Source organism: Homo sapiens, chromosome 10 (genome assembly GCF_000001405.40).
Source record: "Homo sapiens chromosome 10, GRCh38.p14 Primary Assembly".
In the NCBI taxonomy this organism is placed as follows: Eukaryota; Metazoa; Chordata; class Mammalia; order Primates; family Hominidae; genus Homo; species Homo sapiens.
The window spans coordinates 74,415,282-74,434,168 of NC_000010.11; the positions used below are offsets into that span (position 1 = coordinate 74,415,282).

General features: G+C 36.5%; 1 protein-coding gene and 1 pseudogene across 15 annotated transcripts in view, besides 1 other annotated feature; one reads left to right on the forward strand and one right to left on the reverse strand.

Annotated features, from left to right (window-relative positions):
• ADK (adenosine kinase) overlaps positions 1-18,887 on the forward strand; it is a 558,070-nt gene that overhangs the window by 264,061 nt on the left and 275,122 nt on the right. The window lies entirely within an intron of this gene.
• Positions 2,726-3,961: an enhancer, noted in NCBI's record as "VISTA enhancer hs595". NCBI's record gives its function as "enhancer in: midbrain (mesencephalon)[9/13] | forebrain[12/13] | nose[8/13]" and the evidence as "EXISTENCE:transgenic organism evidence [ECO:0001131][PMID:17130149]".
• Positions 7,952-8,776, reverse strand: RAB5CP1 (RAB5C, member RAS oncogene family pseudogene 1; annotated as a pseudogene).

Below are 18,887 nucleotides of genomic sequence, written 5' to 3' on the forward strand. Positions count from 1 at the left end.
ATGTATTTTAGACCAATCAGCAGTTGCTTGAGAAAATGAAATGTTTACTAAATCTCTTTAATAAACATGTTTAAGAGAGGAAAAACTTATAAACATTCAGATGGCAGTGTACATTTTTAAGTGCTAGTTGTCATATCTTTGAAATTGTATGTAAACTGGACATAAACAATCAAGTGTCTACAGAATGGTATCTGTCTTCCAATATATTTACTGAAGATATTATAGAATCTTTATAGTTTAATATGATTTACCCCACATGTTCTGTTGTTGCTATCTTTTCAGATAAAGTTGAATTTAATCTTTCTTATCAGCTTTTATTGAGGTATTTATGAACCATTGAGTTCACCCACTTAAAAAATATCATTCAGTGGCTGTTAGTGTATTTACAGAGTTCTGCTACCATCACTGTAATCTAATGTTAGAACATTCACATCACCACAGAAGGAAATGTTATACCCATCAGTAGTAATGCTCCATACCCCCTGGATTTAATCTTATATCCACATCTCTCATAATAGTTTCAGTGGTATCTAGTTATTATGACTACAAATGATGCAATTGTTCCTGATTACACAAATAATGTATTTATGTCTTTATTGTTGGCATGTAATGGAAGACATAATAAGTCTGCTTTGATCTCTTGCTCTTACCTATTTCTCTATTGCAAGTGTTATAAAGAGTCTTTTAAGCTTTTGCTCATATATATAAATATATATATACATACATTTATATATACACACACATACATATATACACACACACACACACACACACACACACACACATATATGTAATGCTACCGTGTTTGAGGGTCATGAGGGTCAGTTTTTTGAAATACCAGTTTTTTTCTGATTTAGGTGGATGACATGGTACGTGAAGCTTAAAAAAAAATTTGGTAAATTGGTATGAAAAAATGAGAGGACAACGTTTTTCCTTTCTGGTACTTAGCAGGAAGGCAAGTTCTTGTATGAACCCATATTTCCTGTTACCCATTTTCAGACCAATATTGGTTTCTCATCTATATAATAGGGATCTTTTGACTCTAACCTCTTAAATCTATCATGTGTTTTCTTTCTTCACCTTGGAAATAGCTTCTTGAAGCCCCAGACTTCTAGAGCACATTCATATTAACTAACATTGTCCTGGTTTACTAGTTAGGGATATTAGTAAATCCTAAATAGTTGAAGACGTTCTGAAAGATATATTGCTGCTTTTTAAAAATTTATTTATCTTGTTCTCTATACGGATTTCTGGCACAAGGTTGGTTTTTGTTTTTGTTTTTGTTTCTGTTTTTTTTTTGTCAATTGTGGTAAGTCCATGGATGCTTTTCTCTATAACTTTCCCATTTTCCCTTATCACACCGTCACTGCAAACATCTAATTTCTGTCCAGTCTCTCAACTCTTTTCAGCTCTGCTGTCCTAACTAATCATTTTTTGTATTCATCTTTCAAAGTATTTGTTTCTGTCTTCATTCTATAAGTAACAAGATTATTTAAGGTTATTTTGTATTACAGAAATAGTAAAAATCAAATAAAATATCAAATGTAGAATAGTCCACCAAAAATATTTTATTTCATCTTTTCCAGAGAGGTACACATATAATAAAGTAAATGAGCATTATATATTTTATTATTAATCCTCAATAATATATTTTTCACAGGTATGTTGCTTCTTGTAAGTTTACCTTTTTTAATGTGAAAACTACAATAAACTAAATTAAATTTTAAAAATATTTTACTTACTAAAGTCAACTGATGTTTTCCTGGTAGATTGATAGGCTTCTTGTGGTAGCTTTTAATCATTTGCAAGTTTTGAGCCCATTTCTAAAACTTTTCTCATTGTAAATATGTATTTCCTTTCTTATATTAACTGAGAATTTGTTTTTATAAAAATAAAGTGGGGAATCAGACTCAAGGTGAAATGTTGTAGACTTAGTGCCAGCAATAAGCAGAATTATTTAAAATCATTCAAATATCTTTAATTCCCTTGTTGTCTTTTTCAAAAACTGTACATTTTAACTACATTAATATAACGGAAGACTTTTTAAGGCTTAGTTTTCCTTTATAGATATTCCCTAATTTCATTTTTATTTCAGTCTGTCAGGGTTGTGAATGTGATGTTTTAAGGTACACTGTAGTGTTTTCACATCCTCAGATGAACTGAATTGGGACAATACTTTGTAGGAAGTTTTTTAATATAGTATGTAGACACATTGGTAAAAATCAGTATGTCCACTGGCTTATTAGTTTCACAGATGCTTCCATAATTCTTAGTGTACTCTTGGGTATTTTAAATTATCATTTCCTGACAGCAATCCTGAAACATGCCAGTCTTTTAAAGCCTTATTTCTGAGAACTAAAGCAAGGCATCAGCGAACCATATCTGACATGCCATGTTAATTTCCATAACTATCATTTCTGGGAGGTGGTAGGATTTCTAAGGCATGGAGAATCTCAGTAAATCTACTTTAAAAAAAAAAAAAGCAAAATATCTGTTTTATTACTGGGTTTCCATTCACGAGCCCTGACTGCTTCATTCCCACTTAAATAATTTCAAAAATAGTGATAAGCATATTTTTTCTCTTATAGATTATTAAATATTTACTCACGTGCACAATATATCAAAACATATTTTGAATTCTATATTCTTAGTGTTGGGTGTTCATGTTGTGAATGAAAACCTCATTCTGTTATCTCATAGCATATTTATATATACAAATAATTTTTGCCTTAAGTAGGAAAGAAACAGCTAAAAGATACATAGGTTATTTTGCTTTTTAAAATTTTAGCAAACTATTCTGTGAATCTTTTGTGTGTTTGGGGCTGTTTGTAGAGGAAAATTTCATCAAGCAACATTTTGGGAACATTGGCCTTTTGTACTCTTTCCTAAATAAACAGAAACTTGTACTCCCCAAAATAAAATGTTTCTTTGTATATTGTTACCTGCAAGTTATTGATAATGGAAGGAACACCTTTTCAATCCTTAGTCCCCTTTCCCCCAACACAGCTTTTAGATTGTCGATAAACTTCCCAGCTCAGTAATTAACTGAGCTCAGTCATTGCACCCTGTATCATGTGATTTTTTTTTCCAGTGGAATACATTATTAGAGCACTTACACAGCCAGTCTAGCTGCAGCAGCCCAGGCGGCAACAGCAGTGCCATTTTTCACAAAGAAAATGTTGAACAGGAGCCAAATGTTTGGTGGCAGTCTGTTGCTAGGAAATCAAGGTCCTGAGGCGATTAATGACAAAGCAAGCAATAACAAGAAGGCAGAATTACAGATTTAAAAGAGAAAAAAGTGGTTGGTGTTATAATTACCCAAAGAAATCCGCACTCATTAAATTGGCTGTTTTTATGATTGACTTTAATTGGAGGTTAGCTCAGATATTTAGCTCCTTTCCCACCCCTTTAAACACACACAGGCACATAATCTGTAGAACTGCAGACTTGTTTTTCTAAGCATTGAGAGGAGCTTGCCCTGTAATTTGATCCCCACTGACAGATGCATTTTCTATGCTGCCATTTTGAATTAACCTATTGTAGAACAATTTTCTTCAGCCCTGTTGAATAAAACATCCAGTCTGATTACCTCCGATGGATTTGATAGAGTAAAAGAATGTACTTCTCATTGAAGTAGATTGTTTGCATGGACTCTACTGATTGTGAACTCTGCCAGTAAGCACAATCATTTGTAATAAATTTTCAAAGAAATTTGTGAGGAAAAGGTAATGAGAGTCACCCTTTTATAGTTTAATGTTTGGCACCTCCATCAAAATAATATAATTCTTATAAGACAGTGTTATTTTTCCAGTAAGCTTTTCACGTGGTTTTAGAAAAAATTTCTGAATCTTCATTTGGACTATTCATATATTTAGGAATAGAGTCTTGTATTTACACTCTAAAATGACCATTCTTCCTCCCCAACAACAGTATTTTAGTGCAAGACTCAATATGCAAAGCACTCTATTGCAAAAATATTTTTGGTATGTACAATATTTAAAGTGATTTTAAGATTGGCCTATTTCAGTCTTTGAAGTATTTCCCCCCCCCAAAAATCCCTTATTTAAATTTTTTAGGGTGTGATAAAGCATATTACTAGAAAAGCATCAATCGGTCTTTCAGGTACAATACCAGAGGAACCATCACAGTTTATTTACCTTTCAGAAGCTTTAAAAATAAAGTTACATGATGCCTCTGCTCTCCAGATTTCTAATCAAACCCTGGAACAAAAGAGCCAAGCACATTCTATCTGACAATGCACACACTGCTAATCAGATGCCAATGCCAAGCTGTCTGCTTTGTTAAATACTTAGCTTCCTAGAGGCAGGAAGACAGCTGCTATAAGTATGATGAAATTTTGTAGTTCAATCTATTTTTGCTACCCTTGGGCTACCAAGATACTGTTAATTTAGACCACCCCAATTGGTACATTTTAGGGAGTTTTTTAAAGAGTTTGTAATTAAAATGATAAAACATCGTTATTACATTGAAGACCTTCTGTAAGTTTTACATTTGGCAGATACCTACTGAGATAACCCCAGCATGTAATTTACAATGATGTAATGGTTGTAATTGCATTTTAGAAAAAAAGAACTATAGGAGGCAAGTGCTTCCATTAGAAGAGTTTTTAAATCTGCTTCTGTTTCATTTAAATCTACTTCTATCCCCAAATTACTTACTTATAATTGACTAGAGCAGCTATAAACCTTAAGATGCTATCTGAATATTTTTAAAAAGTTATCACCCCAGACACTGCCACCAGGGGGAGGAAGCTAAAATCTTAAAGTTCTTAACTGATGATGATACTGCCAGTAGGTAGATTATATTGCTTAGCCCTACATAGTTAACTACTTCCTCCAGATAATACCGCCTTTTGGGACATGATTCTCACAACCTGTAATATGTGATACCTGTAGACTTAGCACACTATTAATTGTAAATAAAATGGAAACTTTCGTACTCTGGTGGTTGGGGTCAGGAAGGGGAAAGAGGAAGTACAAATAAGCAACCTGGACATTTTTATTGTTTTTCTCTTATCTGTTAGTCTACTTGAAGAGCTATCCTTGAAAGTGAGTGCTTTAGATCTATGAAACTGGGCAGCTATCATAGCACATCTATTAAGATCTAATAATCACATAATTAATGTAGCAAAATGAATAGACTGTAAGGTAGTTTTCTATTTTTTGTTACTACACTGTGGTTTTGTTTTTAATAAATAGTTTTGGCTTTATTTTAAACAATTAAAAATTCAAAATATTTTTATGACCAAAGCTTGTAGGTTCTATCCCTGGAAAATATTTTATAAATGCAGAAAATAGTTGCTTAGGATTGGAATCCAACTCTGTTTACCATGAACAACTTAAAAGTTGATCTCATAATCTTGCATGTTGTGGAATAATACCACGAAAAAGTTAATTAAAGAATTTAGATGTTTGTTCTCCTGTCTAGAACTCAATAACTTTTAAGTAGTAACTCTCCCTACAGTTTAACTGTTAAACAGTAACTCTTCTGACAGTTTTAGGTTTTATTCTGTGAAGACTCATGATTTTTAATTTTTGCATCTTAATTTTTCAGTTATTTCAGGTATTGAAATTACAAACGACGGGAAAGAAAAGTGGTTGACTAAAAAGGGGATACAAAAGGCAATTTTTAGGGCGATGTACTGTTCTGTATGGTACTGTGGTGGTGGATACATGATACTATGCATTTGTTAAAGCCCAAAGAACTGTACATCACAAAGGGTTAATTTTAATGTATGCAGGTTTTTTAAATGTTAGGGATTTCAGGATAGAATGCAAGCTGTAACAAATGAATCTAATTGTATTACAAATGTATGGCATAACTTCACTGAATGGGTGGGGGAAAAGGAGCTGACCTAAGTAACTTTGGAAAATGGTGTTTTGATTGGACAATGTAAAGCTAAAGACTAAGGAACACTATAGAAACACTCTATTCTAGTTGGTAAATTTGTTTCTCATAACGGTATGGGTGAACAGTTCTGAACCTCTTTACATGTATCCTGGGGTTGAACAAATAAGTAAATGGATGATGAATGGTGGAAGCTAGGTTTCTCACTGTCAGGAAGGGATGTTACAGATAAATAAACAAGAGGGGAGAGCCAGAATGAAACCTGTGGTACTGGATTAGAGTTGGAGATATAAGTATTTACTCATGTTTAGCTTAATATATGCAGATGGATAGATGCAGAAATAATTATAGATGCATGTGTATATGTGGATTAGTATACATGCATATGTTTCCTAGCTGTGTTTACTGAGAAGGCCTAGAAGCAGTGATATCCCAGTAGCCACAAACACATCTAACGCTCACATCCTGGTTTGTAAATCCTATTCTCCAATAAAAGGATCCAGGACTCCTTTTAAATATGACTGATTCTGGGGCTGGTGATGGGAAAATACAACATAAGCATGGAATATCTTGTAGTGCCAGAAGGCAAGAGATTTCTTAAAAATAATAAAGATTAAGCATGCCAAAAGGGACACATGAGCCAATGTGAAAGAACTCCGAGTGGCCGTAGCTGGAATAATTAGAGCAACAAAATAAAACATGTAGCATTGGATTAAGGATAAATTATTGAGTAAATATACATGAGTTCACAGTGTTATGTATAAATTGTATAAATAAGTAAATGGAGGAGAAGAGATAAATCTCCCTGACAGAAGAATTCCAAATAACATATTGCCCCCTCCAGAAGGGGGATCCTACTTCCCTTCTCCTTGAGAGTATGAGCTGGATTGAGTGAGTCATATCCAAAAATTGAGTTTGGAAGACAGCGAAATACTGACTTGACTATTTCCATTGGAGAAAGCTGGTAAACAACTATGTTAACTAAGTGATCAAGGTTAACATCACAAATGGGAAGTCATGCTGATGTGAAGAGGTGGAAACTTCATCTCTCTGATATTCTTTCCCTAAACCTGTAGCCTCAATCTAATCATTAGGAAAACATCAGACAAATCCCAACTGATGGACATTCTACCACATAAGTTGAGCATTCCTGAAAACTGTCAAGGTTGTGAACAATGAAGAAAGACTATGAACATCTCACTGACAAGAAGAGACTACAGAGTCATGACAACTAAATGTTACATAGTTTCCTGGATCAGGTCCAGAATAGAAATAGGATATTAGTGTAAAAACTGGTGAAATCTAAATAAAGTCTTGACTTTAGTCAATAATCCACCAACATTGGTTTCTTGGTTTGGCCAAATGTACCACAGTAATGTAAGATGCTAAGATAGTGACATTAGAACAAATTGGATGAGGGGTACATAGGAAGTCTGTATATTAAACTTGCAATTTTTCTGTATATCTAAGTTCCCAAATATAAAATAAATTTATTTGAGGTTGATCAATGGGCTGACTATATTGACAAGATACTGATAGGTTACATGTTGAAGAAAACATACAATATAAAATAGAGAAAAAGTCAGTTCCATCCCTTCCCACTCCCCCTTTACCTACCTGCTCCCCAGTACTCATCATTGTGATTTAGTCAGAACAGGGTTTAGTGCCAGAGGTCAGGGTGACTGAGGGTGGAGGAGTTGTGAGCAATGGGTTCATGGCTGTCACAATAATGCTGTGGCAATTCTATGGTTTCCCAGCTGGGAGTTAGGAGTGGGGAGGGGGCTGCAGCCTGATGACAGCCAGCTGAAGGAAGAGCTACCTCTCCCTTCCCTAGCTGCTCATCACCTGAACCCAAGACCACGCCAAACAAGATATGGATGTAGATGCTCTTGCTGAGTCTGTTCCGCAAGAGGGAAAGAAAGGGTAGCTGCTCCAAACACGCCGTCCTCATATACAAGGGTGAGGGGAACAGAAGCATGTGGCTGCTACCAGCAAAGGAAAAGTAGGAGAGCAATAGAAAGGGGAGGAAATGGGAAGAGCAGAAAATCAATATTATTTAAAAAGTGACCTAAGACTTAAAATTGAATTAGTATTTGTACAGAAAGATGCAGGTGGAATAACTCACTCTGGCCTGTGATCAAAATTATATGGAGAAATCATGGTGGGCCCCTTCCTCTGTCCCCAGTGGTGGCACCAGTTGCTGAGTGTGATTAGTTAGAATGGATTCCAGTCTAGTCGTTCAGGCAGAGGAAGTAGTTGCAGTGGGCAGGCAAGAGGGGCTCAGTTGCTGCAGCACTGGCTCTTGCTGGCTGGGTGGTTCTTCTGGAGGTCCGTACCTCAGTTTTGGCCTGGAGCACCAGGTGCACTCTGGGGCTTATTAGGAATCTTCTTAGCTCTCGCCGTGTAAACTTCATTCACGTTCATTGCAGTCTTTACTGATGTCTCCATAGTCAACTGTCGTCGTCTGCATAGTCCTGTGCTTCGTGGAATTCTGGGGCTTTCTTGCTGGCCAGGTCTGCCTTGTTACCCACAAGTACAGTGACAATGTTGGGGCTGGCCTGCCTCTCTAGCTCCTTCACCCATTTCTTGGCTGGTGCAAATGTATCTTTTTTGGTGATTTCATAGTACATGGGGGCTGGGCTATGATACCGCTCCTGTCCAGCGCTGCCCCAGATCTCAAACTTGACTATTGTGTCGTCTAAGCAGACAGTCTGTGTAAGGAAGGCTGCTCTGATTATGCTCTCCTGGTACTCTTGAAATTGTCCCTTGACAAAGTGGAGGACAAGGCTGGATTTGGCCACCATAGACTCATTGTTCCCAGTGGCTGGTCCACCAGGTCGTGTGCTGTGCCTTGCCGACCCGCCACTACCCGTCCAGCTGTTGTGATACCAGAGAGCATGGGGACGGGAGCCATTGCTATGCAAAGAGGCACTTAGTTGGGAAGGGGGTCTCCAAAATGACGCAAGGGCAGTAGTATTACTTGGGGCTGGGGCTCACACAGGCTCCGCTTCTCTCCCCCCACCCCTGGTGGTATCTCCATATAAAAATTTTACTTAAACGCAGAGACCATATATGTACTTAAACACTTGTCTAAAGAAATAAAATATGGCCGGGCATGGTGGCTCATGCCTGTAATCCCAGCACAGAGGCCGAGGCAGGAGGATCACCTGAGGTCAGGAGTTCATGACCAGCCTGACCAACATGGAGAAACCCTGCCTCTACTAAAAATACAAAATTAGCCGGGCATGGCAGCACATGCCTGTAATCCCAGCTACTCAGGAGGCTGAGGCAGGAGAATTGCTTGAACCTGGGAGGTGGAGGTTGCGGTGAGCCAAGATCCCCGCCACTGCACTCCAGCCTGGGCAACAAGAGCAAAACTCCGTCTCAAAAAAAAAAAAAAAAAAAAAAAAAAAAAAAAATTCCCCTGCCTCTCTCCACCCCAGAGGGTAACCATTATCCTAAATTTTATTATTATTATTCACATGCTTTTCTTTATAGGATAGCCATACATGTATCACTAACTGTTCTACCATATCTCATAACCTCTTATATAGTTTCCCTTTTTTGTCATATTTGCTGTGTTCTGGATAATTTCTTCAGATCTATCTTCCGATATTGGTAATTGTATCTTCAGCAGTGTCTCATATTCTGTTTTACCTGACATTGAATTTTATGTAATAATCATTACTTCCATTTTCATTTCTTCCCCTGAAATCAGTTTACTTTATCATTTTGATAAACTCATTTCATTCTCATATATACAATCCTCTTGTTTATTTAAATATATTAAACTTATTTTCTATTTTGTGCCTAGCCTAATATTTAAAGCTTATGCAGTTCTGATTTTGCTGTCTGTTGTTTCTGCTGGCTGTTACTCAAACTGCCTTATTTTCCTGTGTGTTAGCTTGTATTCATTATTTGTGGTGATTTCTGAGACTGAGATGAAGATACGTTTCCAAAGAGAGTATTTACATTTGAATCTGCCAAAAGCCTGGGGATACTGTCAACCTGGGAACACATTCAAATAAATGTTGGGCTTAAAGTTTTGTGGGCTGCATAGGTAACATGAGTTCCAGATCCATAAACCTTCATGAGGGTGGGCTTGTGGTTAAATTTTCAGGGAAGATGTATTTACCTGCACCCAGCATCAAGTTTGAAAGAGGTTAATTTCCTTGTTTATTCCTTCTGTAGGGTAGACATCATTCTATTCAACTCTTACACTAAACATGTATGTAGCTCTTTAGGATCCCAACTTTATGTGGAGAGTCTAATTAGACTTCGTATCGTTAATGTACCCTAGAATTTATCCCCTAAACCTTGGGTTCAGTAGTGTCCTGGTAAATATTTTAAAGCTGGCTGTCCAGGGCAAAAAAAAAAAAATCCTAATTTCTCACATTTTTCTATTTCACACTATGGCTGATTTCACGATACCAGCCTGAAGTCATTGAACGTGGAGTTGGGAAAAGATATGTACAGTTAGCTTTCTCAACTCCAGTGTATCACTGCCAGTTCTGTACATGGCTGTGAAAACTGAAGCTCAATGCACAGGGCTTGGCATATCCCTCAGAATGAAAGAATCTGAGTGTTTGCCTACCCCTCTGGATTTCCATTTTTACTTTGTTTTAACCTTTTGAGTATTCTGTGTCAACTCAGCAATATACTTCAAAAAAAGATTCTTTTGTTTTCTTTTTATTTTAACCCAGCATTTGTTGTTGTTTTTAGCAAAAGTCCTGTGTTAGGGTACCTATTTAGTCAGAAATAGAAGTCTCTGTGCTTGTTTGTAAGTATAATGTATTATTTTTCTTTTTGGGGAAATATAGAAAGAAATAGAAGTCTCTGTTCTTGTTTGTAAATTTAATGTATTTTTCTTTTTTGAGAAATAGAGAAAAGTACAGAGAATATTAAAACACCCATAATCCTATCATATATGTTCATTTTATGTGCATGTATGTCTCTATACATTTTTATATAATTTGCATTATATCTACTATTTCAGTATATGATTTTTGTTAATATATAATGAATGTTTGCTCATGCCGTTAACTATTCCTTTAAAACAGCCCCCATTATATATGAGACTAAACATAAAATGCTGCACACATAGGAGTTAGTATAATTCAGAAATTTAGTCTGTATTGCATTTGGAAATAATTTTGTGAAGGTTATTCATGCAGCATTATTAATAATTGCAAAATATTGGAAACCATATAAATGACCAGTTCTAGAAGATTGGTTGAATATACTCTGGAACATACAATAGACTACTATGTTTATAAAAGCTATCTGTTTTTATAAATATATGGAGTAATTTCCAGGAAATATTACATGAAACAAAAAGCAGAAACAAATACCCATAGTGCTACTTGTCATACAAGAAAAAGGGAGAATTAAAGAATGTGTATGTTCAGGAAGGATAAAGCAGAAAACAGTAAAATTAGTTACAAGAGGTAGAAGGGAGAGTGAGGTGGAAGGGATGTGGGAGGGAGTGAGACTTGGATATTGGGGTATACTTTCTTGGCATAGTTTCAACTTTTGAAAGCATGTTAATGTCCAACATATTCAAACAGTTAAATAAAAATGATATCACTGGGACAGGGACCTAAAATTGTAAACAAACAAGTGAACTTAATTCATTTTTTTTTCTTATTTTTTTATTATTATACTTTAAGTTCTGGGATACATGTGCAGAATGTACAGGTTTGTTACATAGGTATACATGTGCCATGGTGGTTTGCTGCACCCATCAACTATCACCTACATTAGGTATTTCACCTAATGCTATCCCTCCCCTAACCCCCCAAGCCTCAACAGGCCCCTGTGTGTTATGTTCCCTTCCGTGTGTCCATGTGTTCTCATTGATAAAGTTAATTTTAAAGTAAAATGAATACTATATCCATACCGAAAGGGGATAAAGAAGAAAGAAATGAAGGAAGAAGGGAGGACAGATTTATGAACACCAGATTCAACTATATGTCCTTAGCTTGGGGTGGGTGGGAGAGAAATGAAGAATTGCAAACAAATCCTGAACTCACTTTTGTAGGTTTATTTTATTTTATTTTATTTTTTTGAGGTGGAGTCTGGCTCTGTCGCCCAGGTTGGAGTGCAGTGGCGTGATCTCCGCTCACTGCAAGCTCGACCTCCTGGGTTCACGCCATTCTCCTGCCTCAGCTTCCCGAGTAGCTGGGACTATAGGTGCCCACCACCACGCCTGGCTAATTTTTTGTATTTTTAGTAGAGACGGGGTTTCACCGTGTTAGCCAGGATGGTCTCGATCTCTTGACCTTGTGATCCACCTGCCTTGGCTTCCCAAAGTGCTGGGATTACAGGTGTGAGCCACCGTGCCCGGCCTATAGGTTTATTTTAATGGTATGGGCAAACTAAATCAGAGACTATTTTGAGCAAATGAGTGAGCCTGGTTTCTCACTATGGAAGAAGGGACAAACATATAGACAGGAGGAAGACAGGTAAGAATTCTGTGTAGAGGAATTGGATTGGAGGTGTCTGTGTACATATGGACATTTCTGTGTGTGTATGTATCTGTTGATGTGTGTGCATGTATTTTTGTATATGTATATGTATGTGTGTGTGTGTGTGTGTGTGTGTGTGTGAAGAGACATTCATATATTTCTTAGCTCTATTGCTGAAAGAGCAAAGGAGCGAAGTCACAATAGTAGTGACACACCTAGCGTTATTTCCCACTGTTAGTTTCCTAAGGCTGCTGTAATAAATTACCGTAAACTTAACAGAAATTTATTCTTTCATAGTTCAGGCGGCCAGAGCTCCAAACCGAAGGTGTTTGTGGGGTTGGTTCCTTCTTGGGGAGGCAGAGGGAGAACCTATCCATACCTCTCTCCTAGCTTCTGGTGGTTGTGCATAATCCTTGGAGCTTGATGGTTTGTGACATTATAACTTCAATTCCTGCCTTCATTGTCATATGACATTCACCCTATGTTTACCTGTCCAAATTTTACTCTTTTTATCAGAGTAATCCACTCATTAGGGCCGACTCTAATTCACTGTGACTTTATCTTAACTTCCAAAGACCCCGTTTCTAAATAAGCTCACATTCACAGGGTTAGTACCTGATTATGACTTTTTGAGGAGCACAGTTCAGTCCCTAATGCCTACTAAAACTAAAGCTCTTCACTCAAATGACTGGCTTCAGTCTGGGGCAGGGTAGGTACAAGATGAACCTAGAACATGTTGTAATGCCAAAAAGTAAGGAAATGCTAAAAAGTAAGATAAGTTGTTTGTTAAGTATACAGAATCTAGCTTGAAGAGTTCCCCACTGGTCAAATCTAGGGCAATTTGAGCATCAAATAATTAAATACAGTAATGAATTATAAGCTGTTGGAAATAAAGAACTTTATAAGACCATTCCAATCACTAATGGGTGGATGGATAGAAAATGAAGATATTTTACTTACAGTGGCATGCTGAAAGTTGACCAGCAAATGTGGAGGTTGTGCTAGAGTTGGGAAAAAACAAAACAAGGAAACCTCATTTTGCAGTCATCATGTTAAAGATTAGATCAGGCAAAAATCATCAATGGTTGTAACATCTAAGAGGACAGACATGTTGATGAAGAACAGAATATTTACATGGTCTTGAAATGTTGTATGGGAGAAGAGAAAAACAGCAACAATGCAGTGGAGAAATCAGACAACACATTGACAGGGTGATCACAAGTATCACCTCCAGTGAGAGTCAAATGAACATTGTTTGCCTCCTTATGTGTTTATCTGTCCCTGAGAAGTACACAACATCATCTATGCAGTTTCTGGCCCAGAATGCATCTCAACTCAATCACAAGAGAATATTATGCATACATACAGAAAAAGAAAGAATACAACTGAACATAGATGATAAAGAAAATGAGGTAAAAATGTGACAACAGATGAAAATGGATAAAGGTATTTTCTGTGTTTTTATTTTTGGAACTTTTTGTACATTGAAATGATTGCCAATGGAAAAGTTTAGATAAATTGTCCTAAAGTTACAGAGAACTTGCAGGGAAAAACATCTTAAAGTAGACTAATAGTGGAGAGTCATAAAAGACACTTGGCAAATCTTCTTAGTTGAATATTATTCAAACTATTCAGTCAGGGAACTGATTTTGTGCTAATTATGAAATGCATTATTGCATTGACTTTATGTCTCTTACAACATTAAATTATGTTACCTAGGATCAATTTGAGATTCAACACATGATAGTAGTTTAATACAGTGAAGTCATAACTTGCAACAAACTATCCCAATTTTAAGAATTAATTCTGAGCAATTTTTATATGCATGAAAAAGATGGTTAGAATTATTTGCAGACACTTGCATATTCTTTAGTCAAGTGGTCTTATTACCATAATTCATATCTGTTGTGGGAGTAGGGAAGAAAGAGATTTAAAAAATATCTATCAGTTCTTTCAATCAAGTTAGGTATAATATTAATAGACTTTGAGCTAAGAAAGTTTTCATGACCAGAAGAGGAGCAGGAACTGTCTAACATAGAAAATGTTTATGGTATACCATAATCAGTTATACAAATATAAAAGGAAAAAATGTTTGACTAGTGATACTCTCAAACTTGGATATCCAGAAGAGTGATTCTGTCAGTACACTAAAAGCAAATTCATCTATCAGGAGCTTTCATGTTTTCATTCAACAAATATTTATCCAGTGCCTATTATGTACCAGATAGTGTTATACTGTGAATCGGGAGCATATGTTAAAATAGACAATATAGTAGACATTATTCTCTAAAATTATTAACAATAGTAGCTAATACTCATATGATACTTACTCTGGGCCACATACCATTCTAAGATCTTTACATATAGTAATTCCTTTACCTCAAACAACCTTATTAGATTGGTACTATTATTACCTCTATTTTATTGATGAAGAAACAGAGGCACGGAGGTGTTAACTTTCTCCAGGTTTCACAGCTAAAAGTAGCAGACCCAGGATTTTGAATCCATCAGACTGGCTTGTGTCCAAGCTTTTTTTAATTAATTTTTTTTATTTTGACATAATTTGTAGATTCACATGCAGTTGTAATATAATACAGAGAGATCTCATGTACTTTTTACTCAGTTTCTCGAGGTAACTTCTTACAAAACTATAGAACCATATCATAACCATCATATTGACACTGATATAGTCAAGGCTCCAAATATATCTGTCACCACAATGATCCTTCATGTTGCCCACCCACTTCCCTCTGTTCACCTATTGAAAGACATCTTGGTTGTTTCCAGTTTGGAGCTATTACAGATAAAGCTGCTGTGAATATTTGCACATAAGTTTTTGTATGAACACCAATTTTTGGCTGGGCGTAATGGCTCACACCTGTAATCCCAGCATTTTAGGAGGCCGAGATGAGAGAATTGCTTGAGGCCAGAAGTTCATGACCAGCCTGGTCAACGTAGCAAGACCCCATCTCATTTTATAAAAATAAAAAATTATTTTTTAAAAGGAACATCAATTTTCATTACTTTAGACTGCCTCTAAGCTTTTAATTCTTACATTCTACCACCTCTCAATATATAGTAGGGAATAAATAGTAGAGAATGACTTGATGGTTAAGTTGACATTCAGAAGAGGCCTGAAGGAAGTGAAGAAAAAAGCCATACAGCTGTTTGGGGAAAGCACATTTCAAGCAGAGGGAACAAGCACAGAGGCCTTGAGAAGGAAATATGCCTAGAGTGTTTGAGACAGAGCAAGGCGGCTGGAAGGAGATGAGTTCTACAAGGCAGCTATGAGCCAGGTCTATAAGATGTGGCTGCTATATAGAAAATAGATGGTGGTTGGGCAAGTGTTGAAGCATGGGGAACTATTAAGAGGCTGCCCATCGGAGCTTGCAGTGAGCCGAGATCCCGCCACTGCACTCCAGCCTGGGCGACAGAGCGAGACTCCGTCTCAAAAAAAAAAAAAAAAAAAAAAAAAGAGGCTGCCCATGTGAGAGATGATGGTAGCTTAGACTTATGGTGGAAGTGTTAAAGATGGTTCAGATTCTAGATATGTTTTGAAGAAGAGCTCACAAAAATTTTTCTGATGGGCTGACAGTTGGATATGAGAAAAGGAAAGGAGGCAAGAATGATTCCATTTACCAGGTTCCAAGAGAATGATTACAGAAACCAATAGATTGCCTTATTTATTTATAGTAGGAAATGTAGTTATCACATCGGCCCAAATGTTTGTGTCTGCTTAATCCGCATATCTGTTTCTTTAGGCAAACTTGCATTGGAATGTAATGGCGACTGCAGAATCAGGATAAGGGGACTTGAATAAATCAGTCTTTAAATGCATCTGAGGCCGGGCATGGTGGCTCATGCCTGTAATCCCAACACTTTGGGAGGCCGAGGTGGGCAGATCACTTGAGGTCAGGAGTTTGAGACCAGCATGCCCAACATGGTGAAATCTTATCTCCACTAAAACTACGAAAATTAGCCAGGTGTGGTAGCTGGCACCTGTAATCTCAGTTGCTCGGGAGGCTGAGGCACGATAATTGCTTGAACCTGGGAGGCGGAGGTTGCAGTGAGCCTAGATTGTGCCACTGTGCTCCAGCCTGGGCAACAGAGCAAGACTCTGTCTCCAATCAATCAATCAATCAATCAGTAAGATACATTTCACTCCAGCCTGGACAACAGAGCAAGACTCTATCTCAGTCAATCAATAAGATACATTTATCTCTTTAGTAGGGACCTGAAAAAATTAAATTCCATAGACAAAAGGCTTTCTGAGCTCTTCTTTAATAAGTAGTGTTGGCAGATGCAGTGGCTCATGCTTATAATTCCAGCACTTTAGGAGGCCAAGGCGGGAGGATCCCTGAGGCCAAGAATTTAAGACGAGCCTGGTCAACATAACAAGTCCCTGTCTCTACCAAAATAATAATAATAATATTTAGACATGGTGGCTTGTGCCTGAGGTCCCAGCTACTCGAGACGCTGAGGTGGGAGGATCCCTTGAGCCCAGGAGGTCAAGCCTGCAGTGATCCATGGTTGCACCACTGCACTCCAGCCTGAGCAACAGAATTTTTATTTTTATTTAAAATAAAAGTAGCACAAACATTTGCTTTTGTTTCTCTTTCATAATGCACCAACACTACCCTAACCCCCAACATAATCCTTTTGTAGATTTGTTAATATATTCAGACAGGCCATATTCCATATCTGATCCTACTTAGTGGTTTGATGGTTGGCTAAAAGGCAGTATTAATATCTGTTATTTCCATGCTATTGAGGGATATCTCACATTGATCATCCTTGTATTGGCAATAGAAATAAATGGTGATAGTATTTTTTTCATTTAGATAAATTTAGCACTGCTCTTAGTATTATTGAAACTTAGTTTAGGAATGTATCATTTATCTATAATCATTTATTGCTGAAGTGAACCCTTCTTTAAATTTTCCTCTTCCAAATATTGATGTAGTTCTTTCTTTCTTCATCAGTTCCATGCATACAATTCAATTTTCTTCATGACACGGGATCATCATCTATAACGTCTGTTACTTATAGGACTATTCTATGAGTCTCTTCAAGTGTATACATGTATTTGCTTTTATTTTAAGTTACTCAAATTGTTATATATTTTGAGTACTTATATATACATTTTAATAATTTTACTAGCCCTGGAGCTGGTGGTGTGTCATCTTCAACTTCCTTTTTAAATTCCTTCTAATTTCTTAGGGTGGGAAAAATCTAATTCAGTAGATTGAATTTTTAGAAAAGAGTAGATAAACTGATGTCTAAATATTTAGGTATTTGTCTATTCTGGAACCTTTTTGCTTCATGATTTTTCTTTTTTACTTTGCATTCCTGAGATTTCCTTTCATGAACTGGAAGGCTTTACTTTACTAAGTGACTCAGCAGTAGCTCTATGTATCTTTTAGTTGGAAATGCCTTTGGCTCTATGCATGCACACACTGCCCATTAATTAGCAAACCAACATAGAATCATCTGTTGATGACAAAATTACCAAAATGGATCATCCATAAGTGTTTATACTGCAAACAGTGTATCAGAAATGTCATAATCTCATTCATTAAGAAATTTACATACACACCAGATTTTAGAGTGCTCATTCATGATGAATGTCTACTTCCACACTGTTTGTTTGGAAACATTCAATAGCCAGTCTTGAATTTAAAAAATTTAATTGAATGCTTAAAGAATTACAAGTGTTCCTTTCCTTGGCTCTAATGCTAACCAAAGTGCTTTTCTAAACTGCTAAGAATGGACTGAAGATTCTGCTGAGGGCTGTAGATACTTATCTGCCTAATTGAGCCATCATTTGTTGACATGAAGAAAACCACGTGACCTACTTTAATGCATTTCTCAGTAGCAGCAGGAGGCTAGAATGTAGTTCATCCAACAGTAAAACTAGCAGCAGTATTATTAGACATGTGAAAATAGCATTGGTTATGGGATTAGTTTTGTAAAGTAAGGATAGTAATATAAAGGTATATAGTCATAATATAAACAGTATAGAGTGATTTTTTTATTTTCAAAATTATTTGAATCCAATAATCATTTAAGTCAGTCATTCAGTAACTATTTACCAATGTTTACAGTTGCCAGCTATATTAAAGGAATTGTTGACTTGTCAAAGTTGATTCATATGAGAGTAACAGTGTTAAAATCTGAAACTGGTATGGATTGCTAAAACGAAATACTTTGAGTACACAGGGAATTACTATGATCAAAACTATGCTGGATACATTAATTTGACCATGTGTCTTTAAATTGGAGGTGAGGAAGATTAGTTACAGATACATTAATTAGAAAGGTGTTATATTAGTCTAGGTTGAGGCTGATATAAGTAAGAAAGTAGGAAAGGATGCAAAAGCCCTTGGAAATGAATATTTGTGTGTGGTGAAGTAAAATGAGGTAGAGGTTACCCTTTTACATGACTTGAGAGAATCATGGCTCATTTAGTAAATCCAGAGGGAGAAATGATTTTCTATATATATAATGAGTTTGGAATACAGGAAGAATGCCAAAAATAACATCTTAAGGAAT